Source organism: Homo sapiens, chromosome 9, assembly GCF_000001405.40.
Source record: "Homo sapiens chromosome 9, GRCh38.p14 Primary Assembly".
NCBI lineage: Eukaryota > Metazoa > Chordata > Mammalia > Primates > Hominidae > Homo > Homo sapiens.
Genome location: NC_000009.12, coordinates 12,769,730 through 12,797,675, shown reverse-complemented (window position 1 = coordinate 12,797,675; position 27,946 = coordinate 12,769,730). Strand labels below are relative to the sequence as shown.

General features: G+C 37.1%; 1 protein-coding gene and 1 long non-coding RNA gene across 3 annotated transcripts in view; one reads left to right on the top strand and one right to left on the bottom strand.

The window, feature by feature from the left end:
* The window catches only part of LURAP1L (leucine rich adaptor protein 1 like), a 48,041-nt gene extending 25,385 nt beyond the window's left edge, over positions 1-22,656 (bottom strand). The window contains exons 1-2 of one of the 2 annotated variants that reach the window (XM_005251443.4): positions 21,649-22,656; positions 20,098-20,476 (exon numbers count right to left, since the gene is read on the bottom strand). In XM_005251443.4, coding sequence (XP_005251500.1) covers positions 20,447-20,476; positions 21,649-21,960 — 342 coding nt within the window. In that variant the 5' untranslated portion in view covers positions 21,961-22,656 and the 3' untranslated portion in view covers positions 20,098-20,446. Of the gene's footprint in view, positions 1-20,097; positions 20,477-21,648 lie in introns of those variants that run through there. The other variant, NM_203403.2, reaches the window with a different exon arrangement.
* LURAP1L-AS1 (LURAP1L antisense RNA 1) overlaps positions 1-27,946 on the top strand; it is a 114,391-nt gene that overhangs the window by 16,714 nt on the left and 69,731 nt on the right. Inside the window, exon 2 of the long non-coding RNA NR_125775.1 lies at positions 6,911-7,056. This is a non-coding gene — a long non-coding RNA (LURAP1L antisense RNA 1). The remainder of the gene's footprint in view (positions 1-6,910; positions 7,057-27,946) is intronic.

Genomic DNA, 27,946 nt, shown 5'->3' with positions numbered 1-27,946 from the left:
AAATAAAATCCAAAAGCTTTTCCTAAGTTATAATACAGATAAAAAAACAAAGTTACAATAATAAAAGCTCAAACTTTTGCTCAAACTATTACTAGAATTTGAGATAATTTTCTGATAATAATGAAAATCCTGGTAGATACAGGTTTAAAAATACAATCCATATAGTATAATACCTATCCTATACCCAAAGTTGTAAAAAGGTCTGTTTTTTTCTTCTCCAGTGTCTATCATCTGATTCAGAAATATAAGTTTTTAGACAGCTAAAACTTGGCATTGGTACCTCCTAACATTTTGTGTGTGCTGCTTTTATAAAGTAATCGCAGTGTGATTCCTATTGTCACTCTTCAACCATAGCAGTAGTATCTTTCTAGGCTGGTTTTGTAGTTATTAGAGTTCCCTGCTCAGGAAGTAGGGTAAGGAGCAGTGGGTGGTGATGTACTGCATTCTAGGAAATAAGTATAGTTTCCATAAGTAAAGCTCTTGGTGGATCACAGAAATAGCAAGAGTCCTGGTAGCAATGCATTTCAGAGGTAGTGGGGGTTTTGGTTGTTGATAATGTGTATGTTGTTTTTCTTATTGCTTTTGTTTGGTAATCCCATGCAGAAATTTTTAACCCATGTTGACTTTCATAGTGACAAGAAAGAACCCCAGTGATAATAATAGCATAAACAATAACTTCTAGCCTTTAATAAAGCACAAGTGCCAGGTACAATGACAGGTACTTTAAATACTTCCCCCCACCCCCACCTAATCTTACTCAAACCTTAAATGGTAGAAATGATTATCTTCAAACTGCAATTTGAAGATAACTTACCCAAGCAAGTTACTCAAGTAACTTACTCAAGTCATACAACTAGAAAGTGAAGGGGCTGGGATTCAGGCCTAGATTTACTTGGCTCTGAAGTTCACATGCTTAATCTGCTTCTTTGCCTCTATGTGAGAGCTCAGTAAATACAGCATTTATGCACTCTTTTTTAAAAAAAACTATTAGAATATTCAGTTGGCAAAAGAAAAATAAATCAAGAATTGCAAAATTTTATCGTAAAAGGAATGAGGTATATTCCTCCAGCTTATAAATTATCACAGAAATAACCTGCAATGTGGAAAAGCATATCACAACAAAAGTATAAGAAACAAGTTAAATATCCAATATTAGAGAAATGCACATAAAATAGAATATTTTCCAGGAAATACAAATGAAGTTTAGAAAAATAACACAGGAAAGGGTTTATAACACAATGTTAAGCAAAGAAGGAGGCACTACAAAAAAGATACAAGTTATAAATTATAATTTCAACAATGCAAAAAATTACAGAAGATAAATGCTTGAATAAAATTTTTTAAAAATGGTAACAAAAATGGCCTCTGGATAATGCAATGGTGTTTTTTTGGTCACTCTTCTTTATATTTTATGTACTTTAAAATATTTATCAGGAGTGTACATTACGTTTCAACAGAAAAGATCTTTAATTATAAAATGAAACCATTATGAACATACAGAATTATATAAATGGGAAATCATAGATAAATGTTATTTGGATGATTAAAACATTTAAATCTTTGTTTAGGAAACATCAATACAGTAATAAAGGTCACAAGCATTCATGATTAATTTATTGAGAGGATACTATGAAACCATAAAAATCTGTGTAATTGTAGAATTATACCTGATAGGAAGAAAACAAACTTTTAAAAATATTTATTTATCTTATACTAGTAGAATCTTCTCACTTTCTTCCTATTCTTGTTCCAAAAATATTTTTGTCATTTTTAATTTTACTGTGTATGTTCATTCCTCAGTAATCAACAGTGTGCTTTCTTGTTTATGACTATTCCAAAAGTACAACATCCCTTAATGATCCCATGATATAAAAAACACATGGAGACCGTTTGGTACCCAAGAAGACAATTGTAAGAAAAAAATAGAGTAAGTGTGCCAAAATACAAGACGACTTTCATTGTATCACTTCCCTAACATAACAACTACAAGTGGTCGTGTTGCCTTTCAAACCGTGTTCAAACTTCTTAGCTTGGCATTCAGTATTCTTTATTAATTAGGCTGATTTTACCTTTTCAGTCTTGTTCTCATTAACTCCAACATAACCATCACAACTGTCTCAATCAATCTCGCTGTGGTTTCCTAGGCAATCCATGCTTATCACTACCTTATTACCACTACCTACAGCTATCCTATTTCTCTAATCACTTTCTCGAAGGAAGATTTTTCTAGAAGGAATTTCTTGAAGAAAGAAACTTCTAGATAATTAATTTATTATTAATACATTATTAATGTATTCCTCCAATACTGACCTCTTACACTCGGCTAAACATTAAAGATGGAATGAACTGGACCTGGTTCTAGCCACGAAAGAACTGATAGTCTACTAAGATATATACAATAATCAGTGGTGTGACCTGAAGGATAACAAGTTAGAGTTAACTACAAAAAGTGTAGGAAATAGGGGTGGGACAGGAAGAAAGATCCAGGCAAAAGCAACATCATCTACAAATGTTAAGGGGCAAGAATGCACAGGGCAAGTCTGAGAAACTGAGATGGGGCTTGGGTTGTAAATTGATAAGCAATTGACCAGCTTCCCCAGCATAGCATTAAATGACTATGATATAATTTCTTTCATATCAAAATTATATTTTATTACAGACCATGGGACCTCTGAGATTAAACAAGAGTTTTCTATACCATGGAGGTTAAAATCTTTTAGTAGCAACCTCATACTTTACCTACCTGATGATTAGTTAAGTAACGTGAAATACATATCTTCCACATCATCTGTATTACTTTGGGGCTTATCACAAGAATTGAATATAGTTGATGCCTAAAAACATATCTTTAGTCACTTGATGCCTCTCACACAAACACTTCTACAAGCAGAGATGGGGAGTAATGTCCAAAGTGTGGACATTTATGTTGTTAAATGGTGTGCAGCTGAGAGTTTCCATCTGTCTCAGTTGCTCAACAAAGAGTGAGGATTTGGAAATATGTATGTTTACTATAGATTTGCATCATCAGTGTTTAATTGTAGCAAACAAGATTTTTGGCTGAGGCAAAATTAATTTCATGTGTATGGTCATAGAGATGGCAAATGATTCTTGTTAAATTCATTTCCAAGTGTATGAACCAATCTGACATTCTCAGCATATACTTAACTCATTTTATTTGTTCTCAGAAGAGTTAATGCACTTGAGTAACTCCAAGTTTTGTTTACAAAAGGACATTGGGGATTTTTCATGTAGAGGGTAAGTTTTTCAAGTTATTTGATCTTGTTGACACAAAATCAACTTAATGATATTTAAAAAAAGTAACAGAATTGGGTGCAATCCAAATAGAATCCATTTGTCTTAAGACAGAAAGCAAACAAAAATGACCCAACATTTAATGTTATGAAATTACTGAGCATTCTCAGTAATGATGTTTGGACTTTTGGAATTAAAGTATACATGGAAATACATTTTCTCTGTTTATATTGGCTGCTGCATGGCACTCGGAACAACCAGTTTAGGAAGGGGGAAAGCTGGCTTTGTTTTTGTCCACTGCGAATCACTCAGTCTCTGTATCTCCGTTTTAAACTCAACAATGTGGACATCTGATATTACTCCTAGGAGGCTTAATTAATGGTTAATGGTTTTGACTCTAACAATAATCATTTCAACAGGCTTGTTTATTAATGCCAATAACAAGTTTGTGCTATAATTATTTAAAAGCCTCTAACACAGAAAGCGGCATCCATTTTTTGAATTAAGCCTTGTTATTTATTTATTGACTACTAATGACCATATTTTGAGCTCATTTTATTTATTAATTAAATCAAAATGTTTGAGCAGTTCCATTTTGTGCAGGCGCCACTCTTCAAAGCATGGTGGTTTTCCGTCTTTGGTACTAAGTAAAGCTACCGTTCAATAAAGAGATTTCTTTGTACTATGACTAGATGGGATACCATTTGAAGCAGCTTTTCACTGTCTTTATCATAATGCACAATGGTCATTAAGATCTTCTCAAAATTTTTGATCATATCATGTATGAATCCCCATAAGATTTCAACTTCGAGTGGAAATAGTCAATTGCTTCACTGAATATGTGTTCCACCTTTTACAAAATTAGTCTCTTATAATCCCACTTGTATATGTAAATTGTAACATTGTTGGAAAGGAGGGCAATAAAAGAAACACGGCTGTTGAGTAACCAAACAAGTCCAAAAAATGCCTAGCAGGAAAGACAGGACATGCATCGGTCTAATTCTATAAGGTTAAGTCATGGACAACAAATATAAGTACACTGATAAGTATCACCTTCATTAAGTGATAACCTAAATCATATCAAAACAGACATCTAAGAAAATGGTTGTTTTATATTAAACATATTGGTATAGAAAATCTAGATTTCATTTCTCTGTGGTATAAGATTGCCCTGAAGCAGAATGCACATTGGTAGACAGGGTGGTAACTTTATTTTATAATTTCTCAGGCTACTGAAGGATGATAATTGGAGGGAGGGGGATGAGACAGAGTAGGGGAAATTTCAAGATCTACTTCTAAATCATTATAAGTTTGACCCCTACTAAGGTGACATGCAATCTGGGTTAATCAGCATGGGCCCAGTGACTACCAAAATCGTCCTTCTTATGTTCTAGTTCGTTTTTCCAGACTGACAAAAACACATATATAGAGACCATAAATCTCTTAGTTATTCTAAGTTTCTTCTCACATAATTATTCCGGCATCTTCAAACTAATTTTTAGAAACTTCCAAATAAGGAATAATTGGAACTAGTACTACATTACAAAGCAAACACAAAATCAAATTTAAAAAGAAGCACAAATATAAATGGTAAAATTCTGTTTCACTTCTCAGGGTTGTCAGGGTCAGGATTCCTGAAAAACACGAATCATAGCCAGATTCAAGAAAAAACAAGTGGATATTTTTCAAGAGTCAATTTAATATGTGGATTTCACTACTAAATATAATCCCCAAAAAGAGTTTGTATGAATTTTAAAAAAGTAAATCTAATGTCGTTTATGATAATAGTGATAGCATAGTTTGATTCTTCACTTCCTTGACAAAGCAACTATAACATCAGGGAGAAGGCCATTATTAATAGACACATTTATTGGACAAATACTCTATCCTAGCAAATATATGCTGCAAATATTGTATTTAAATGTATGCTGCAAATGTTACATTCATTATTTAATCATTGTATCCTCATAACTTCAGGACTGAGGAGAGAAGATGTGGCACACATCAAAGTGCTTTGTACACTATGCAAAATATGTACAATGCAAAATAATGTCTCACAGGAGAAATCTTTTTTTTTAGACAAAAGTGCTAAGAAATTATTTATTTTTCCTGTGTCTTTCATTCTCACTTTCCTCTTCTAACAAAACTGGTTCTCAGAATTCTTGCTTCCATACAGCTATTGCAAGGCAATTGTTTTGTTACTTCATCTAACATTCAAAATATATTTACTAAATACCATGTATAGTCCCAAACCTCCCAGCTACTATTTTATATTTTCATATGGGTCAGAAGCTCTGGCTGAAAAGATGATTTGTGAGAACTGAATTTCTGGCATTAATCCAATAGAAAGGTGAGAAATTAAAGGCATGTTCTTCTAATCAACCCTCCTATGCTTTAGGCAGACCCACTTGTATTATCTACCTGAATACTGGCCTCAGGTATGTTTCTGATTTAAGGGAGGTGACCACTTGCAGAGCTCTGTCGAAAAATATTCCTAGGACAGGTCTGAAGTCAGCAGAAATAAAGTGACATAAGTCATTAATTGTGGCATTAATTGTGTGACAACAGTGTACACACGATGGACGAAGGACAACATTTATGCCCCACAACTGTTCTTTTGGAGGAGGGGAATGATCACTGAATTATTTTGAGGAACAGTGATATCATGTGCAAATTTCTTAAGAAAGTTGAAAAATGTTTAAGAAAAAGTGTGTGTGTGTGTGTGTGTGTGTAAAAAGAAGGGAGGAGGGCAGGAGAGAGAGAGAAGGAGAGAGAGAGGAGGGCGGGGGAGAATGAGAAAGGTCAATATAAAATGTTTACATCTGGGGGAATGTGGATAAGGGATATATAGCAACTTTTGGTACTCTTTTGCAATTTTTACGTAAAGTCTGGAATTATTTCAAAACAAAAATTTTAAAATGCCTGCCACTTAGTAGGAAATCCTCCTCTGGATGATATAAATAAAAAATACTGAGATTAAACCAACAATATTGTATGTACTGTAGCTTCTTGCAAGGTGGTAAAATGGATGCCTTTGGGAAAATGGGTATTTAAAAGGTTCACGTAGAGACAAAAAATTTTAGGGGGAAACCCACACAGCTGCTGGTTTTGTTGCAACACTAGAATATGTGGTAGCCATTTTTCATATTTTGGATCTGTTTTCAAATCACAAAGAGAAAAACAGGTCGATTCCTTAAAATTCATTATAATTCTGGAATCCTATAATGAACACTCAAGAAACCTACTCTTCCTCATTCCATTCATCCATCTTACTTATGTGAACACTGCTGATACGATGCTCACTATAAGCTTGCTAGCAACTGCTTCAGACACCTCAGGGACAATGTGCCCAAGTCACATTTCAATCAGAAGTTGCCAAGTCTATACTGAGGGCTGTGCCAAGGATAGTCAGGGAATTAATGCCCTAGTGATTGATGCTACTTAGGTAATAAATTAGGCTACCGAATTAAATGTCTATTTATTTTCAGTTAAAACCACACAGACTTTACCATTTGTCAATATGTGTAATATACAATGCTACAAATAATGTTTTTTTCCTTGTAAGTTCTTTCTTCTAATCCTAAAACTTCAAAACCTCATTTAGTATAGTAAAAGAAGATGCCAAAAACTAACATGTACATATTCTTTGTGCACTTAGGGATGAAAAAAAAAAAAAAACTACTGCCTTTCATTTCTCTACTCTTCCGACAACTCTGAGAACAATGGTTCCTGAGAGTGACAATATCTGAGGAAAGAGCAGGTCCTGCAACCAACGAGAAATTCTCCTGCAGCATTTCAAAGCAGGTAGTAAATCTCCTTTTCTTTTATTTTCTTTATTTTTTTCTTTTTAGTGAATCGCTACAGTAATAGACAGGGGAAATATATTTTAGTCTTTCTTTAACCAGGAACCTAAGTTCCAGATGACTGAGTTTGGCTGGTGAGATGCAGAGGAGGCATTGGGTTTCTATGATCCACTACAAAAAAGCAAATGTTGCTAGTGTAGTCCAAACACAAAAAAATAGAAGCAGGATTAAGGAATACTTTAATTCAGTAATTAAATAAATGCTTAGTCCCTCAATAATTGGCCAGGCATTAAGGACATATAAGCATTGATTAGTCACAGCTCTGTCCTAAGGTGATTATGCTGCAGGAGAAAAAGATAGTGAGCAATATTATTAACCAAGATAAGAGAGGGAGCCTAAAATTTGGCACAATAGGAAAGTGACAGATGAAGTCATGTATAGAGAATTTTGTCCACAGACTTTCACTCTTTGGAAATCTTTAGCCCCAGAGACTTAAAAATATTTTTTTAAAATAACATGACTTAACTGCAGAAAGATTTTTGTCAATGCATAAAATTTACTTTACCATAAGTCATTAAGTTTTACAGTGTGACTAAAATCACCAATCTAAGTGATAAAATTAAGTTATACTTGGTGGCTTCTTGTGTATTATTATTTATTTGCAATACAATTTTGTCGTCACAATTAAAAAATTGTATAAGACTAAAGTATGGTCTCAGATTCTTGTCCATGGTTCCTGCATAATCCTAAAAAGGGCTTTATCTGTAGTCTTAATTTATTTGTAATCTTTTCTGCTCTCTGGGCAAAGACTATTTCTTTTCTAAAAACCTATATGAACATCTATCTGAGTCCTATTTTATTCACCTATTTCTGGTAAGAAGCATCAGGCTCCCATATGCCCTATGAAGAAACTGTAGAATGGTTTGTAAATATTTCTTAAAGTAGTTGTCAACTCCCTTGCCTTCCTATGATAGACCTGTCCATATAGCATTAGCCAATATGACTAAAATCATAGAGTCAATTGGTTATTAATTCACCTGATTCTATAAAGAGAGGACATTCTGAACCTTAAATGGCTAAATCTTACTTGGGCACTAATCACTCCAGGTGCTGCATCTGTGTAGGGGCGCTCAATACCAAATTTAGGGACTCCGATGTAGCATGTTCAGGAAAACAAGTTATTTGTATATTGTCATTCACCCTTCTATGAAATAGGATAAAAGGAAGAAAGAGAAAGGGTAGAAAAAATTCTGGTCTCATCTTTTCCTGAGCCAAAGAGATAAACCACTAATCAAACGTGAAGAGCAAAAACACTAATGCTTAGTAAGTTACTATTTAGCAGACAGAATCTCAGCTACTTTACATATATCATCTCATTATTTAAATTAAGTGCTTAAAAGCACATCTCTAGAAAAACACAGAGTTGTGGTTCCTTGAATTATACTCTACCTTATTCCAAAGCCCAACATTTTAATTTTTATTGTATCTATTTATCTATCAATATTTTTTCTTTTCTTTTCTTTTTTTTTTGGGGGGGTGCTGGGGGAGGCAGGATCTCACTCTCACTCTGTCAGCATCTAACCTGGAATGCAGTGGTGCAATCATGGCTCACTGTGATCTTGGACTACTGGGCTCCAGAGATCCTCCTGACCCTGCCTCCTGAGAAGCTGGGACTAAGGCAAATGCCACTGCACTCAGCTTATTAAAAATATATATATATATATAGATATAGGGTCTCGCTTTGTTGCCCAGGCTGGTCTTGAACTCCTGACCTCAAAATAGTTTTTCTTACCAAACTGTAATATGTAATTAGTATAGAGAAACTGGACAAAATACAGGAGCTTAAGAAAAAGAAAGTAACCTATAACCCTACCCTTATCATTCAATGATATCACTGTTAACATTATAGGGTATTTCATTCGAGCTTTTTGTTCTATGCTTTATACATCCATAATAACCATTCTCTCTGTTCCATAAATAAATTTACAACATAATTTTAATAGCTACATAAATTTCTATCATATTCACATAAATAACATATTTGCCATTATTGGCCATTTAGGTCATTGCAGTTTTCTTAATTATACATTATACCGAATGTATACACTAACTACATTTTTGTACCGATTTATTATTATTTCTATAGGATAAATTTCCACATTGTTACTGGCACCAGAATTGCCAAATTAAGGAGTATATTTTTTATTTTTCTTTTTTTAAAAATATAGTGTCAGTTTAACTTTAAAGGTGTTTTTGAATGTATACTTCTAGCAGTAGTGCAGAAGAGTGCCCATTTATCTCCATCCTTGCCAAGGCAAGGCATCATCATTCTTTTTTCATTTTGCAACAAACACTTGAAAGTCTTTTATTTTAGTCATATACATACAAACCTATGAGAAACACATTGAGCTTTTCTTTTCTTTTCTTTTCTTTCTTTCTTTCTTTCTTTCTTTCTTTCTTTCTTTCTTTCTTCTTTCTCTTTCTTTCCTTCCTTCCTTCATTCTTTCTTTCTTTTTTGTTTCGCTCTGTCACCAAGGCTGGAAAGCATTGGTGCCACGTTGGTTCATTGCAACCTCTGCCTCCTGGGTTCATGCAATTCTCCTGCTTCAGCCTCCTGAGTAGCTGAGATTACAGGCACCTACCACCACACCCGGCTAATTTTTGTATTTTTAGCAGAGACGGGGTTTCACCATGTTGGCCAGGTTGGTCTTGAATTCCTGACTTCTAGTGATCTACCTGCCTCAACCCCCAAAGTGCTGGGATTACAGGCGTGAACCACTGCGTCTGGCTGAGCTTTCTATGTTTTTAATACTCAACAAAGCTTCCATCATAAATTATGAACGTATGACTTTCAGGCACACGCGGTGAAGTATTTTTTGTCCCATGGTGAATGATTATGGAATTGTCTTTTGAGGAACAACTGGAATGCCAATTAACAAATATACTGAATAGAAGTATCTGAAAATGAAATGGTGTGCTTTGAGAGCCAGAGAAGTGCTCATTGATGAAGAAGTTCAACCAAAGGTTGATGATCAACTGGCTAGGATGAGAGTAGAGAATTTGTCTGGATAACCTCTCAAGTTTCTTTCTATGCTATGGTCCTATGATGCTCTTGCCTGTTTCTGGAGATTACTGACTCTGTCTTTTTGCCTCATCAGCTGCAATTTTTTTATACTAATAGACTAACTCTCTCTGAATGGTGTCCTTTGCCAACAATCTATTCAAAGTCACAGCATTTTAAGTTGTGCTTTGAAGCCAAGTGCATATATATACATATACATATATATATACCTATACAAATGGCTGCGTCATGAACTTCTCAGAATTTCAATTTTAAAATTTAAACCTACACAATTATATGTCTATCATTACAGCTAAGGTATAGATAAAACTAGGTATGGTTGTATGCATTTAGAACATTTCCAGGAAGGTACACAAGACATCATAGAATCATCTCTAGGGAATAGGAATTGGAAAGAGGAATGTGAAGAACTTTTATCCTCTACTTTAAATACTTTTGTACTCTTTGCATGTTTTAGCAATAATATGTATCATTTTAATAATGAGATGTAACAGTTCACTGTTACAGATGCTTGTGTCAAAATCTTTTTGTGAATTTACTAAGGTGGGTATAAACATAACAACTTTATTCTGCTCACCAAAAATAGAGAAAAATCTGAAACTGCCAAATGAAATGATGGGTCCAATTGTATCAGGAGACAAGTAAATTCTTATCTCACTCTTGCCCTGATTCTATGCCTTCCCAATCATTTAACTTTCCATGGTGTGGGCCAGCAAAGAGAGGTCACATTAGTTATATATTATAGTTCTAGTTTTACACATCACTCTTTCATAAGAGCCTATTTGAGAGATATTATGTCTTCAGTTGAGGAATCAAATATTCTGATGATGTCTGATCTCTAAGAACAGAATCTGTTTTGTTATCATGAGCATCCCAGATGAGCAAATTTAAGAAGATTTTTACCATAAGTAAATCTAAGATGATTTTGAGCTATACAGACTTAAGGCACAAGGGTTTATATATATATATATATATATATATATATATATATGTCATATATATACATGTTAGCCATTTAATCTAATTTTAGAGGGTTCATTAATATTATTCTCAGAAAAACAATCACTGAATTACATTAAAAATGATGTGTAATTGAAGTTCAGTCCAGTTTGAAGGCTTTTAATTTTTTCATATTGAAGAATGCAATGTTCTGATTAAGTCAGATCTCTGTAAACAGAAGCTGCTTTAGAAAAGAACTATTAAGTGTTTGAATAATCACTTATAAAAAATGAAGTAATTACCTTTTCTATATAATTAGCAACTAGTTGGGGTTTGTATAGGAGAAGTGACAGAATAAGATAAAATTTGACTAGATAAGAATTTCTTAAGCTCTGTCAGTAATTTGCTTATATTATCTAACACTCCATAGTGTCTACCTCATAAGTGGGTGAGGCATGAGAATGAAATGACATAATACTTGAAAAGTGTTTGAAATACTGTGTGTCATATTGTAATCATCTAATAAATGCCAGGTAATATAAAAAATATTATGTAAAATAAGAAAAATGATATCCAAACATATCAACATTATGTCTGTATATAAAATGCAAATATATGCAGGCAAAGACATGAAAAAAGATCTGAGAGAAGTGGAGCAAGACGGCTGAATAGAACCCTCCAGCAATTGTCACCCCCACAGAAACATCAAGTTGAACAACTATCTAAACAAGAAAGTACCTTCATAAGAACCAAGTATCAGGTGAACAATCATAGTACCCGGTTTTAACATCATATCAAGGAAGAAGGCACTGAAGAGGGCAGAAAAGACTCTTGTATTGCTTACACAGCCCCTCCTCCATCTCCTAGCAGTGCAGCACTGCAGAGAGAGAAGAATATCTGTGTGCTTGAGGGAGGGAGAATACAGTGATTATGGGACTTTGCATTGGAACTCAGTGCTAACTGTCACAGTGCAAAGCAATACAGGGCAGAATTCAGCTAGCTCCCACACTGGAAGCATTCAGATTGGACCTAGCTAGAGGGGAATTTTCTATGCCAGAAGTCAGAATTTGAGTTCTGACTAGCATCAACACTGCAGGCTAAAGTGCTCTGGGGTCATAAATAAACTTGAAAGGTAGCCTAGGCCTTTCAAGGAGGAAAGTTCCCAGGCAAGTTCTGGTACTGTGCTGGGCTCAGAGCCAGTAGACTTAGGGTGTACAGGACCTAGTGAGACATCAGCTGGGCCAGCCGAGGGAGTGCTTGTGTCACCCCCTCCCCCAGCCCCAGACAGTGCAGCTCGCAGTTTTGGCAGAGACACCTTCTGTTTGAAAAGAGGGGAGAGTAAAGAGGACTTTTGCCTTGTAACTTAAATACTACCTCAGCCATAGTAAAATAAAACACCAAGCAGAGTCCTGAAGCCCCCATGCCAGGCCCTAGCTCCCGGACAACAGACGTTTCTAGACACACCCTGGGCCAGAAGGGAACCCGCTGCCCTGAAGGGAGATAACCAGGCCTGGCAAGATTCACCATAAGGTGAAAAAGAGCCCTTGGGCCTTGAGTAAACATCAGTGGTAGCCAGGCAGTACTTGCCATGGGCCTAGGGCAGTGGTGGCCATGAGGAGAAACTCCTTCTGCTTGAGGAAATAAGAGAGGAGAGTAAAAAAGACTTTGACTCAGAATTTGGGTATCAGCTCAGCTACCAAGTAGCTTTACCAAGTAAAATAAAGCACCAAGTAGATTCTAGATTCCTAAAGTTCCCGACTCCAGACCCTCCCTCCCAGACAGCATTTCTACACCCACCCTGGGCCAGAAGGGAACTCACCACCTTGAAGGGAAAAATACAAGTTTAGAATGATTCACCACCTGCTGACTAAAGAGCCCTTGGGCCTTAAATAAACATCAGTGGTGACCAGGCAATAGTTGCCACAGGCCTCGGGTGACATCAAGTACTGTGTTGGCTTTAGGTCTGACTCAGCACAGTTGCAGTAGTGGTGGCCACAGAGGTGCTCGTGTCACCCCTCCTCCAATTCTAGGAAGCTCAGCACAGAGAGAAACTTGTTTGTTTGGGGTAAAGTAAGAGAACAAGAGTCTCTATTTGGTAATCCAGGGAATTCTGTCATATAGTACCCCACACCACCAAAGTGCTACCTCTGTTAGTCTGCAAGAGTCATACTATTATTGGGCTTGGGCAGATATGGCTGCAATAGGCAAATACTTAGATCTGAACACTCAATTTTCTTTAAATACTTCTTTAAAGCCTTCCCAAGAAGGGCAGGTACAAGCAAGCCCAGACTATGAAGACTACAATAAATACCTCACTTGTCAACACCCAGACATTGATGAACACTCAAAAGCATCAAGATCATTTAGGAAAACATGACCTCACCAAATGAACTAAATAAGGGCACCAGTAACCAATCCCAGAGTGACAGAGATATGTGACCTCTCAGACAGATAACTCAAAATAGCTGGTTTGGGAAGCTAAACAAATCAAGATAACAGAGAGAAAGAATTCAGAATCCTATCCATAATGAAAATGTAAAATGAAATGTAAATTAGATTGAAATAATTTTTAAAAATCAAGCTGAAATTCTGGAGCTAAACAATTGAATTGACATACTGAAGAATGCATTCGAGTCTCTCAACAGAACTGATCAAGGAGAAGAAAGAATTAGTGAGCTTGAAGACATGCTAATTGAAAATATACAGTGAGGGAGACAAAATAAAAGAATAAAAAAGAATGAAGCATGCAAAATTATTAAAAAAAAAAAAAAAGCCCAGGACCTCATAGCTTCATTGCTGAATTTTACCAAACATTTAAAGAAGAACAATCCTACCCAAACTATTCCAAAAAACAGAGGAGAGAATACTTCTAAACTCAGTCTATTAGGCCAGTATTACCCTGATATCAAAATCAAGCAAAGACGTATCAAAAAAAGAGAAAGTATAGGCCAATATCACTGATAAACATTGATGCAAAAATCCAAAACAAAATAATAGTGAACCTAATTCAACAACACATTAAGATAATCATTCATCATGACCAAGTGGAATTTATCCCAGGGATGCAAGGACTGTTCAACATATGCAAATCCACCAATGTGATACATCATATCAATAGAATGAAGGAATAAACCATATGATAATTTCAGTTGATACTGGAAAAGCATTTGATAAAATTTGGCATCTCTTTATGATAAAAACTCAAAAAACTGGGTATAGAAAGAATCTACCACTGCACAATAAAAGCCATATAAACAGACCTACAGCTGGTATCATACTGAAAGAGGGAAAACTGAAAGGCTTTCCTCTAAGGTCTGGAAATAAGGAGGATGCCCACTTCATCACTGTTTATCAGCATAGTACTGGAAGTCCTAGATAGAGCAATCAGACAAGAAAAAGAAATAAAGGGCATCCAAATTGGGAAGAAAAAAAGTCAAATTATTCTTATTTGCAAATGATATAATCTTACATATGGAAAAACCTGAAGACTCCACCAAGAAATCATTAGAACTGATAAGTTGAGTAAAGTTGTAGGATACAAAATTAACATAAAAATCAGTAGCATTTCTATATGCCAACGGCAAACAATCTGAAAAAGCAATCAAGAAGTAATCCCATTTAAAATAACTGCAAATAAAATTAAATACCTAGGATTTAACTAAAGAAGTAAAAGATCTCTACAATGAATACTATAAAATACCGATGCAAGAAATTGAATAAGACACAAAAAGATGAAAAGATATTCCATGTTCATGGATTGGAAGATCAACATTTTTTAAATGTTCATACTACTCAAAGCAATCTACAGATTCAATGTAATCCTTATCAAAATACCAGTAACATTCCTCACAGAAATAGAAAAAAGATCCTAAAATTTATATGGGATCAGAAAAGAACCTGAATAGCCAAAGTCATCCAGAGCAAAAAGAACAAAACTGACTTCAAATTATACTACAGAGTTATAGTAACCAAAACAGCATGATACTGGCATAAAAACAGACACACTGAGCAATGGAACAAAATGGAGAACTGACAAACAAATTCACATACCTACAGTGAACTCATTTTTCACAAAGATGCCAAGAACATACACTGGAGAAAAGATAGTCTCTTCAATAAATGGTACTGCCAAAACTACATATCCATATGCAGAAGAATGAAACTAGACCCCTATCTCTTGCCATATACAAAATCTAATCAAAGACTTACATCTAAAACATAAAAGTACCAAAAGAAGACATTGGGGAAACTCTCTATAACATTGCTCTGGACAAGGACTTCTTGAGGAATATCCCATAAGCATAGGCAACCGAAGCAAAAATGGAAAAATGGGATCACATCAAGTTAAAAACTTCTGCACAGCAAAGGAAACAACCAACAAAGTGGAGAGACAACCCATGAAATGGGAGAAAATATTTGCAAACTACCCATCTGACAAGGAATTAACTGGCAGAATACATAAGTAGCTCAAACAACTCAGTAGGAAAAATGTCTAATAATCTGATTAAAAAATAGACAAAAGATCTGAATAGACATTTCTCAAAAGACATCCAAATGACAATCAGGTATATTCAAAAGTGCTCAACATAATTGATCACCAGAGAAATGCAAATCAAAACTACAATGAAATATTATCTCACCCCAGTTATAATGGCTTTTATCCAAACAACAAACAATAATTAATGCCGGTGAGGATATGGACAAAAGGGAACCCTTGTACACTGTTGGTGGGAATGTACATTAGCATAGCCACTATGGAGAACAGTTTCGAGATTCCTTAAAAAAATAAAATTAGAACTAATATATAATCCAGCAATCCCACTACTAGGTATATACTCAGGAGAAAGGAAATCAATATATCAAATAGATATCTTCACTCCTGTGTCTATTGCAGCACTATTCACAATAGCTAAGATTTACAAGCAACCTGTGTCCATCAAGAGACAAACGGATAAAGAAAATGTTGTACGTACGCACAATAGAGTACTAATCAGCCAGAAGAAAAGAATTAGAATCTGTCATTTGCAACAACATGGATGGAAGTGGAGGATTTCGTGACAAGTGAAATAAGTCAGGCACAGAAAGACAAACTTGGCGTGGTCTCACTTATTCGTGGGAGCTAAAAATGAAAACAGTTGAACTCATGGAGCTAGGAAGTAGAATGATGGTTACCAGAGGCTGGGAAGGGGTAGCGAGCTGGGGGGAAGTGGAATGGTTAATGGATACATTAATATAGTTAGAAAGAAGTAATAAGAGCTAACGTTTGGTAGTACAACAGGGTGACTACAGTCAACAATAATTTATTGTACATTTAAAAATAACTAAAAGGGGCCGGGCACAGTGGCTCACACCTGTAATCCCAGCACTTTAGGAGGCCGAGGCAGGCAGATCACCTGAGGTCAGGAGTTCCAGACCAGCCTGACCAACGTGGAGAAACCCCATCTCTACTAAAAATACAAAATTAGTCGGGCGTAGTGGCACATGCCTGTAATCCCAGCTACTCGGGAGGCTGAGGCAGGAGAATCGCTTGAACCTAGGAGGCAGAGGTTGCGGTGAGCTGAGATTGAGCCATTGCACTCCAGCCTGGGCAACAAGAGCGAAACTCCATCTCAAATAATAAAACTAATAATAATAATAATAACTAAAAGAGTATATTTGGAATGTTTGTAACACAAAGATATGATAAATGGCTGAGCTCATGGATTAAACAAACAAACAAAATGTCAGAAGTATTTCCTCTGGAGTATAGAGTAAAATGGGGAGGAGTAAGATTAAGTGAACTTTTCTTCTTATTTATACAATTTATTACTGTATTATTGGAAGTTTTACAATGAGAAACATTTATTTTTTTTAAAAAAAAGAAACAATATTTTTAAAGGAATGCCAAAAGATCCATTGGTAGATATGTGATGAAATTACTATAAAAATGTTCGTTCACAGTAAATGGGCACATTTCGTAGTGCATATAGTATATAGTATAGTTTGGGATTACTTTGGATCAAGCAGATAGCCAGGCTCACAGTGGTTCTTGTTTGAATAACAGGCTGGGAATCATAGTTAATTAATCTCTGTAAGCCATAGTTTCCTTATCTGTAAAATGAAATAATACTGTCCTAGTTATATCTCAACATCCACCACAGTGTTTAGCCCCTTTTTAAGAAAATGAATAATTCAGGTTTAATTTAGAGGTCTAAGATCGAGACTTTTGAAATATAACCTTGTTTTTTTTCCTTGTGAATTCTATGAGTGCAGTTTACATGAGCACAATTCAGATGGATGTGTTTTCAACCACACACCTGGCAAGTCACCACACAGTGCTGTGCAACTGATATCATTTGAGAAGAAGAGGATAACTGAGTTCCTGTTGGAAAAACAGCAATTTGAAAGTACTGCTTAAATGAACACAAGATGGTGTCAGGATTCCAAGTTTCTAGTTCTTTCTAGGGAGTTACCTAAGGTCTAAGTTTTATCCTGAACAGAATCTCTTGGGGAACTAAAATGCTACCAATGAAAAGCTCTTGATACTCCTACATCATGAATATTATTGAGCTCTAAAACTTGAACTGGTCGTGTCAGGAGAACCTTTAACTGCTCATGGCAGTTCTTGTGGACTGAGAGGAAGTACTACTGGAGATCTTGGTGATAGTGGCCAAAAGGAAAGGGTATGATTATGATTGCTGGGAAGCAGATGGCTTTTGAATATGTTCATCCAAATCCTAAGCCAGAGACTGTGTTTAGTGCTTGTTCCTCCTGGGAAGGCTTATGGTAAACAAAAATACAGTTTAACATGTTTAATGTTTTGAAATTCTGGGAGAAGAATAGAAATATTCATTTGTTCCTAGGTGTCCACATGAGCATGGAGGTATTCTAAAGTGTAAGAAGTGACAGCATAGGCATGGTTAAAATCTCAGATTCTGACCTCATCCTGGCTCCTCCACTTACTACCTTCAGCATTAGCTCAATAAACCTCAATGCTTTGTCTATAAGATTATGGTGACAATTACATTTAGTTAAAAGATTATAAAGTTTCGGCCGTACACGGTGGCTCACGCCTGTAATCCCAGCACTTTGAGAGGCCGTGGCGGATCACGAGGTCAGGAGATAGAGACCATCCTAGCTAACACGGTGAAACCCTGTCTCTACTAAAAATACAAAAAATTAGCCGGGCGTGGTTGCAGGTGCCTGTAGTCCCAGCTACTTGGGAGGCTGAGGCAGGAGAATGGCCTGAACCTGGGAGGCGGAGCTTGCAGTGAGCCGAGATCGCTCCACTGCATTCCAGCCTGGGCGATAGGGCGAGACTCCGTCTCAAAAAAAAAAAAAAAAAAAAAAAAAAGATTATAAGATTTCAACGGGATAATACATATAAAATGTTTAACTAGCACCGTGTCTTACACATAGTAAAGTCTCACCAAAGTAACCAAATGTAGTAGTACACCCTTATCTATGGCTTTGCTTTTAGTTACCTACAGTCAACTGCAGTCTGAAAATATTATAGTATTTTGAGAGAGAGAGAATGAGAGAGAAAGAGAGAGAGAGACATTCACATAGCAATACACTGTTTTATTTTATTGTTAGTTATTATTGTTAATCTCTTACTGTGACTGATTTATAAATTAAACTTTACAATAGGTACGTACGCATAGGACTAAACAGTCTATATAGGCTTTGGTACTATCCACAGTTTCAAGCATCCATTGGAGGTCTTGGAACATATCTCCCATGGATAAGGTGGGCTACTGTATTGGTTTAAGTTCCTCAGATTTCCTGGACTACCTGACATTAGGCTCTACAATTCTTTCATACATGCTACTTCAATCAGCAGCATGCTTAGCACATAGCATGTGTTTAATAAAAGTTAAATTTAAAATAAAAATCAAGATTTCCAGTTGAACTGAAGCTAGGGAAACCTACACATATTTTGTGCGTTAGTTTGTTTGGAAACATCGTCTCTACAGAGAGTATCTGATGACATGGGAGATGACATGATAGAGTCAGTCTGGTGGAGAAGATATCTAGGCCTTCATCAGTCCCAAATCCACATTATCCATGTAGGGCTGCTTTTGTAAGATCAACGGAACCCATGTCATTGATGTAATGCTCATTACTGCCAGCATCCTTACTGTTTTTGAATATCTATGTAATAGTTGTTTTTCTTATATTATTTCACTGAATTCTTAAAATGCCTTAATGGAGATGCTCTTATTCCTATGTTAACAAGAAAGCTGAGTCTCAAAGTGGTTCTATAACTTGTTCAGTGCCACACACTAGTGAGTGAAAAAGCCATGACTAGAATGAGGGCCACAGAGAGCGGGACAAGCCTTTTTGCCGGGGAAGATAAGCTAAATGTCTCCCTAGACAGGCAGCCCTACATCCTATTGGGTCTTATTGATATCCTGACTTGCTCTAGACTTGTCTGAAACCCTGGTTTATCTGGCTTCAAAGCTTACGAAGCTTCCACCAGACCAGAGGACCATCATTTGAGTAGTGATGAAATATTCTCCAAAAAACAACAACAAATGCGACAAATTATCAGGGACCTTAGAGACTCTCAACATAAATCCCAGTTTCAGAAATTGTGTCTCAAAAAAGTAAAGTCTTAATAAATATTAGGTTGGTGCAAAAGTAGTTGTGGTTGCCATTAAAAGCAATGGCAAAACAGCAATTACTTTTCCACCAACCTATAAAAAAAAACTAATTGTGATTCATCACTACAATAGAAGGTAAAATGTATACTCACGTTACCATGGAAATAAACATCATCAGTTTAAAAATTCTCACAAAACTTGTGACTTCTCTACAGGACAACATGGTTGTGCATCCTAAGTGGAACGTAATTATTTTTGTCAGAAAATGATCTTCACATACATACCAATCATTCCTTGGGACAGGGTGGGGTTCATCGGTTTTTGGAAATGTTACTGTTTTCAAGTTATATATAAATACTCTAAATTGTGTCTGAGTGTCCAGCAAAATGACAGTATTATCTTTGATGTGCTATCAGTGAGCTACTGAGAAAGAAAATATGTTTCAACAAGATTTATTTATTAGATTAAGTGAATATATTAACATTCCATGGGTAAAATTACAGAAGACATGGTTAGGAATAAAATTTCCTCATCTCCTTGATGTCTTCGTCCCTCATATTAAGTCCTTAATTTGCAGAGTTAGCAACATTCTTAATTCCTTGTACAAGAAATTTTCTTGTGGAAAATAGTTTTACCTGTTAGTCTCCACACGTATGTCTGATCTTTGTGATACGGTATCAGGCATCCCCTGACCTGTTGGTTTGTCATCTTTTCCATTTTATCTTTTCATCTATTTTGCAAACTCATCAAGATGACTTCCACTTTCCAGCTTCTCCATTATGTACCTAAGGGTTGTCCTTAAATTTTTGTCCAACCTAAAAAATAACAATCACTAAATGATAGAACTCTATAATAACTAAACGATAGAATGATAGAAATAATTTCCAGCATTCCTGTCGGAGTGATAGAAATCTCCTAGCCTACTTTGAAGCAAATCAAAAGCAACTGTGAAGTTAATTTAATGAAATTATTTTCTCTTTTTGAGGCCCACTGTTGCAACTTTCCTTATCTCCAAGCTAGTAGAAAATGCTGTTGCTTTGTGGTCGTTTTTTTCAAAGGACTTAGGGAGGGATCATTTTCTCTAACCAGCTCATCAAATTCACAGAGGTCTACAGAAGTGAAGTGACGTGCCCAAGAGCTCATGGCAAGTAAATAGTGTCTTAGTCTAAATACTTCCAGAATGAGTATTCCTAGACCTTGTACTTATCTCATTGTCCTATGCTCAGGCAAACGTTTGCAAACAGCAGGGAAAACAACTGCAGATTGAGACTTGAGGGAGAAGGGTGGGAGATGGTCCTTAGCAGATCCCTGGGCCTGGGGATCACCTGCTCCCTGGGATCAAAATAGTGAAACAAGCTATTCATAAGTACATCAAGGACGAGTAGGCCATTGTTTTCAGAACCAGCTGTGGAGAATCTGCTCGACAGTGGCCTTGGAACAGCTGCGGCTGCTGCACCAAGAAGGGAGGGCAGGAGGGCGGAGCGGTACTGGTGGAAGGGTGAGCTAGGAGGAAAGGCTGCAAGGACCCTGCCACGCCACCTCCCGGCAAACCAGGAAGTATTTTTGCAGTAAGTGCATTGGACTGAGCCACCTTTTGAACCTACCCGAAGTGTTAACAGCGCACAGCAGGCCTTAGATGGGTGCAATAACTGCAAACTCTCAACGGGCTGGTGCCTAAGAGGCTACGGGCTGGCAGCTAAATAGAGCCCGGCGCAGTGAGTCGCGTTGTCCGAAAGTACACAGAGTGGAGCCAGCCGACTGTGCTGTCTTTGCAAACCGTGACCGAGCAAAGTCCGCGGTAAACAAGCCTCGCAGCAGCTGCCTCCGGATGAGCGCCCCCTGCTCATTCCTCCACCCAGCATTTCCCACGCGCCCAGCGCTCCGCTCTGCAGCCCCTGCCGTCCTCTCTCCCAGCCCCATTCTCAGATCGCCCCATCTTTTGGCCCAGCCCAGGTCCCAGCCCCCGCGGCTGGCGCACCACACTCACCATCTCTTGCCTGAGGAGGTGAAGCTTGGTTTCTAGCCTCTCCAGGGCGCTAGAGTGGCTACCTCGTGGGGAGCCAGAGGTTGGGGAGGACGAAGAGGAGGACGACAAGGAGGGAGGGAAGCTGCAGTAGCTGCTGCTGCTACTGCAGCCGCCGCCGCCGCCGCCACCACCACCGCTCCCCCCGCAGGGGTCCCTGTCCCTTTCCCTGGGAACCGGCTCCTCCCCACGGAGAGAGCGCACTAGACTCTCGGGTACTTTGCGCCCCAGCTTCAGCTCGATGTCTCTGAGGTCTGGCAGCGGGCTGTCTTCCATGACTTTTCCGGAACGGCGATAATAGTAATAAAACGCAGCAGATGAAAGGCAGCCACGGCTTCGAAGGCTGCTGCGAAATCAGCAGACCTCTCCGGGGGCCAGGGTCTCTATCCTCCGCCGCTCCGGTGTACCGTCCTTTCCATAACCGCCTATGCGGTATCAGCCCTGAAATCCGCACAGGACGCGGGGGGTCGCAGCTGCAGTTCCCAGTCCGCTGCGACTCCTCCGACACTAAGATGATCAAGATCTCCTCATTCTCTCTCTTTTTGGCCACCTCACTGCAAAGTTGAGTTCACTGATATTGCAGACAGAGGGGGAATAAAGAGGGGGAAGTAGTGAAAGAAAAGAGAGGGAAATTAAATCTGTTTTAGCTTTACCAAGGGAAAATTTTCACATTATAAAACCGTCCGTTCACATCCCTGCGCCGCTCACTGACTGCCCATCTGGTACTACGCGACACAAAATAATGATGCAGCCAGAAACGATGTCCTGGGTCGTTTCATTTTCCAGCCATATGCCTCCAAGCTTTCGGGATATCCTGGGTTGTCAGAAATAATCTCTGGTCAGTGAAAGAGGAGTTCGGTCGTGTGCATGGACCCATAAAAAAGAGCTAGTTAGCTTAGCAGGAGTTTAACGGCTTCCTTGATGCAGCAAAAATGTCCTTCTTCCCATTTAGGCTGTTTGATCCAAGTCATTGTGTTCCTCTGAGCCTCGGAAACTTTAAACTCCGCTGGCAGGTGGACCAAACCAGGACCAACCCTTCTACCGTATATCACAGACAAGAAGAGCAACCGGAATTTTCCCAACCCTGTCGCTAGTAGCAGAGTTTCAAAGCCCTGCTTTAGTTAGGAATACCAGTTGATTTTTCAGTTTTCCTGACTAGCTACAACCTTTAAAACAGGTTTTAAAATGAGAGATAGAGGAATGACTTTATATTTGGTGTCTTCGTTTCCCATCTCTCTACCTTCCTCAAAGGAAAAACAAACAGAAAACCTCTCTTTAGAAGACTTTCCTAATAATTTTATTCTAATAAAAAGAGTGAAACAATTTCATCAAAAGTTCAATGGAAATGTACAATCAAAATTAATTATCCTACCAACTGTTACAGTATGCAAACAAAAGTGAAAAATTAAATAGCCAGAATAACTTACATGACTGCTGAGATAGCAGTGAAATTTTAAGAACAAGCAATTGCTGAGATACTTACTTTTATTTTAATTATGGAAGAAAAAATATTGGGAATAACTATTTAAAATGTTGTCTTCTTTGATAATTTATCTATAAATTAATTTATAGATTTTTTCAACTATACAAATTGTACAATTAATTGTATAGTTGAACAATTGTACAATTTATTAATTTGTACAATTGTACAATTCATTAATCTGAAATACTTCTACCAAGTAAGTTATTATGAGCTACATGGATTACAGATCTGAATCAGCATTGAGTTTGTGTCAAAAATGTTTAAGTAGAGGATACTAATTTCAATCCAGTAAACTACAATTTTTGATTTCCATTGAAATATTTCAAAGTATGTGCCCCTCTATTTCTGTGACATATAAGTATTTGTGTTCCTGGTCACTCCGAGGCTCCATTTCCAGAGACATCATTCAGGTTTTACACTTGTAGGAACATAGGTATATACATCTCAGAGTTTGTTTTTATCATATCTGACTCTAGGAAACCTTATACGTAGAGGAAACATACGCATTCTAAATGAAATATTTCATGTCAGGGAAAAAATGCTGAACTTTCTATCAACATGCCAGAAATTTGCATGCTATTTCTCCCTTTTAAAAAGAAATGAAGAAAATAGTTATAAGTTAGATGACCCATTTCAAAGTTAGAACTACCACTTACAGAATCAAGGGAAAACAAGACCAAATCCCAGCTAACTGATAAAACTACATGCTTGGTCCTAAATTTGGAAAAACACAAGCTCGTTGCATAAGAATTGCACTGTGGCATGTAATTATGAAAGGCTTGTGTTTCAGTCAAGAACAGTTTATTATTACAAAACCCTTACAAAGTTCAGCATAAGGCTGGCTAAGTGCAGTTTATAGATGAAATATCTAGCTAGAAATTGGTCAGTAAAAAACAAATGTCAAATTATCGTGTGTCAATATAGAAAAATGGGACACCTCTTCTGCTATGAATCACAGACTGCAAAATCAGTATTTGAGGCTGAGGATAATTTAATATATACGTATATGTATGTATATATGTATATAGTTTTTTAAAGAAGTCTGCAGGAGAAACTCCTCTGAGAGTAAAAGTGTGATGTATATGCAAAGTAACTTTGTTCCAGTGAAATATAAAAAAATGTAAACTTTTGAAGGAAAGCTTAGTATGTCAAGCTTTAAATTTTTTTTCGGTTAAATGCCTATTGACATTTTAGTTTAAAATGAAGACATTTTGAATGATGCTTTAGCTAGTTTTCAGAATATATTAAAATCATTGAATGTTTATGGATCTATAATAGATTGTTGTTAATGCTACCATAACTGCTTTATGTGGTTTAATCTGAGGACATTTCTTACTCAAACTATTTGAAAACTTTTTTTTTTTACTTTGGTTCTTGAGCATGTGTTTTGTTTGTTTGTTTTCAAGATTCTCAAGAAACTGAGTCAGCCTGGGCAATATAGCGAGACCCCACCTCTTCAAAAAATTTAAAAATTAGCCAAGCATGGTGGCATGCACTTGTAGTCTTAGCTAAGGGGTTAGGGGTGAGGGAGTGAGGCCAGAAGATTGCTTGAGTCCAGGGGTTCGGGGTTGCAGTAAGCTATTATCAAGCCACTGCCCTTTAGTCTTTGAGACAGAGTGAGAAACTGCCTCAAAAAACAAAAACAAAAATAAAAACAATAAACATACAAAAATGCCCACAAACAACAAGGACAAAAATGTGTGAGATGTTTTACCAATTGCTCTTAGCCTGAGAAGCTAATTACATCTTGAGTTGGGGAATCAGTTGAGAAGACTTTGCAGTAATGAGTCCAGGATGGGGGTTGGGGGTAGCAGTGAATTCAGCAACAACTGGGAGAGGGAACATAGGGAGAACTAAGAAAGACAGAGGGAAAAATTCTTGAGTCATATCACTCTTAGTAGCACTCCCTCATTGCTCCTACTTTTCTGGTCCATCTCCAACTACCTCTGTTTCTTTGATTAGTAGCATTTGCCATGCCAACAACCACCTAAACTCGCAGTGTTTCTCCAAGTCTAATAATACATTGCAGAGTAAAATTGTAAAAATGGTTATTGTATTGTTTTTATTTGTGATGTAATTTTTTATACTTCATTATATGCTTCCTTTTAAGACCACCATATGTATGAGCTGGATTTGCCTTTTTTTTCTATTCAAAATGCATAAAGAATCTAAGAATGAATGTTAAACTATGCAGGACTTTAAGAGACTGAGTTTCTTCCCTAGCTATGTTGTGTACACGGAGAAGGAAAGGGAGCCTCTTATTTATCATTAAAAAGAAAGAAAAACTAGTGGCTAATTAAATAGGAACATTGTTGGACTCAGATGACAGGTTTTGAAAGAATGCCTCAGTCACAACAGACTGATGTGATGCACGCTTCACACATTCCACACTTAGAACATTTCCTGATTTGAGACACAATACTCACAGCAAGAGTAGACTCAACAACGCTTCATGTAGTGTGGGTAACACCACTCCTTAATCTGTTGCTGGCATTGTGGTTAAAAGAAGAAACACCTTCCACCTTCTTTCTGGCACTGATTGCAAGTTTGCAGCATTCCCAACTCTTGCTGTCACAGAGCTCAAGGGCTAGGACAGGGTCTCTTACCTGAGACTCCACTCCCCACAGTGCAGAATAATGTCAAGCAGCCAACAGCCTCAAATTATGCCTAAGAATTTTAGGAAGTCACTATTTAATAAGTATCAGGTTCTTTCATTGTTTGTTTTTAAATGTGTAGAGCTGCTGCTTCTACAAATATTTTTGTTCAGTTTATATGCATAACAAGGAAGATGTTATAGCAAAGCTAAAGAATGTTGACCCTATCCATATACAGTGGAATTATATATCTGCTAAAGTTACTAAGGTTTTATCATGCTTATTTATAGAGTCATTTAATTTACCTATAATTTTGTAGCTGGCTTGGGTCTGTTTTACTATGTGAAATCATCTACTTATTACCAACTTGAACCACTTGTACATGAAAATGCTATATATATTACTATATCTGTATATATTTCTAACAATCAATCTATCTGAAATGTCTCTCTCTAAGGTGTACAGACCCTTTAAATAGTCTCTGATTGAAATCTAATTAATATTTATAATCAGAGCTAAACACTTCCCTGAGGATTTAGCAGACAATACTAAAAGTAGGTCACCAGGATCTAAGTCTTCCTTATCCCCTCTTCACAATCCCGGTCAAATCTCTCTGCCTTCATTATTTGTAATAGCATCCTTTATTTGCTTTTTCTTGCTATCCTGAGCTCTAACTTCCTGCTGAAAGGTACAATGCAGGGCCAAGAAAAGAGATCTCTCCAGCTAACTTTTTTCTGTTCCTCTACAGCCATCCCAATTTGGCCTATAGAATGGACTTTATAGCATTTCAATGCTGTGCTGGTTTATGTTTATAACCAACTCTCTGAAAATATAAAAATAACTGATTTGTAGCTTTTAGCAACATTCATGGTGTAAATACTCTCATTATGGCTGATATCAAGCTACCAATGTGAGATGTGAGTTGGGAAAGGATGGGAATTAGTTCATCATTACATAATGTTTCCACTATACAGGTAAAACACATGTAAATAACCTTAAAAGCATCAAGAGTAGTAAGCACAGAGAGTAGTAAAATGTATTTAAGTAATTAGGAAGTGATGAGTTTTAATCATTTATTACCTTTGTTTTTGTTTTCCTATATTAAAACTTATACAATGTAATTTTTAAAAAAAAATGGCTGTGTTTAGCAACCAGCTTGCAAAATTCTCAAAAATTTAACAATTGTCTCCTGCAAACTGGGATTGGTTGGCACCAGGACACCTGTGTTTCATAAAATCATTGGAGGGCGATCATTAATTATAGTTAAGAAAGAAAATAAAAACACAAAGCCAGAAAACGTAGTGCAGTTTTAAGTCTAAGGGTTAGGCAAAGCCATAATTAGGAATATGAGTCCCAAGGTCAGAAAGCAGGAAGAATAGTGAACTTGTGAAACGTGTATGTTAGTTTCCTAGGGTTGCCATAACAAAGTACCATGCAACAGCAATTTAGTGTCTTATAGTTCTGTAGGTTAGAAGTCCAAAATCAAGATGTGGGCAGGTCCATGCTCCCTCCAAAGCCTCTAGGGAAGGATTCCTCCTTGCCTCTTCCAGCTTCTGGGAGGCCCAGCATTCCTTGGCTTGTGCTCGCATATCTCCAATCGCTGCCTCTGTCTTTACATGGCTATTTTACCTCTGTGTCTGTGTCTAAATTTCTGTCTTCTTACACGCACACCCACCATATTGAATTAATTTAGCAAATTATAACTGCAACAACCCCATTCCCCATATAAGGTTACATTCTGAGGTACCATAGGGTCAGGATTTCAGGATATCTTTTGTGGGAGACAGACTTCAAATCATAACACTATAGAGTGATGTGGGGTCTTGGAGGTGTAGTTTAGACATGAGGCTGTGAATAATATGAGATAACTGGAATCTTCTTTTTGTTTCATACTTTTCTTTTTATTTGGCAGAGGTATAAAGGTGGCCAAGGACCAGGTGCGGTGACTGACACCTGTAATCCCAGCACTTTAAGAGGCTGAGGCAGGCTGATCACAAAGTCAAGAGATCGAGACCATCCTGACCAACATGGTGAAACCCCGTCTCTACTAAAAATACAAAAATTAGCTGGGCGTGGTGGCACACACCTGTAGTCCCAGCTACTTGGGAGGCTGAGGCAGGAGAATTGCTTGAACCCGGGAGGCGGAGCTTGCAGTGAGCCAAGATCGTGCCACTGCACTCCAGCC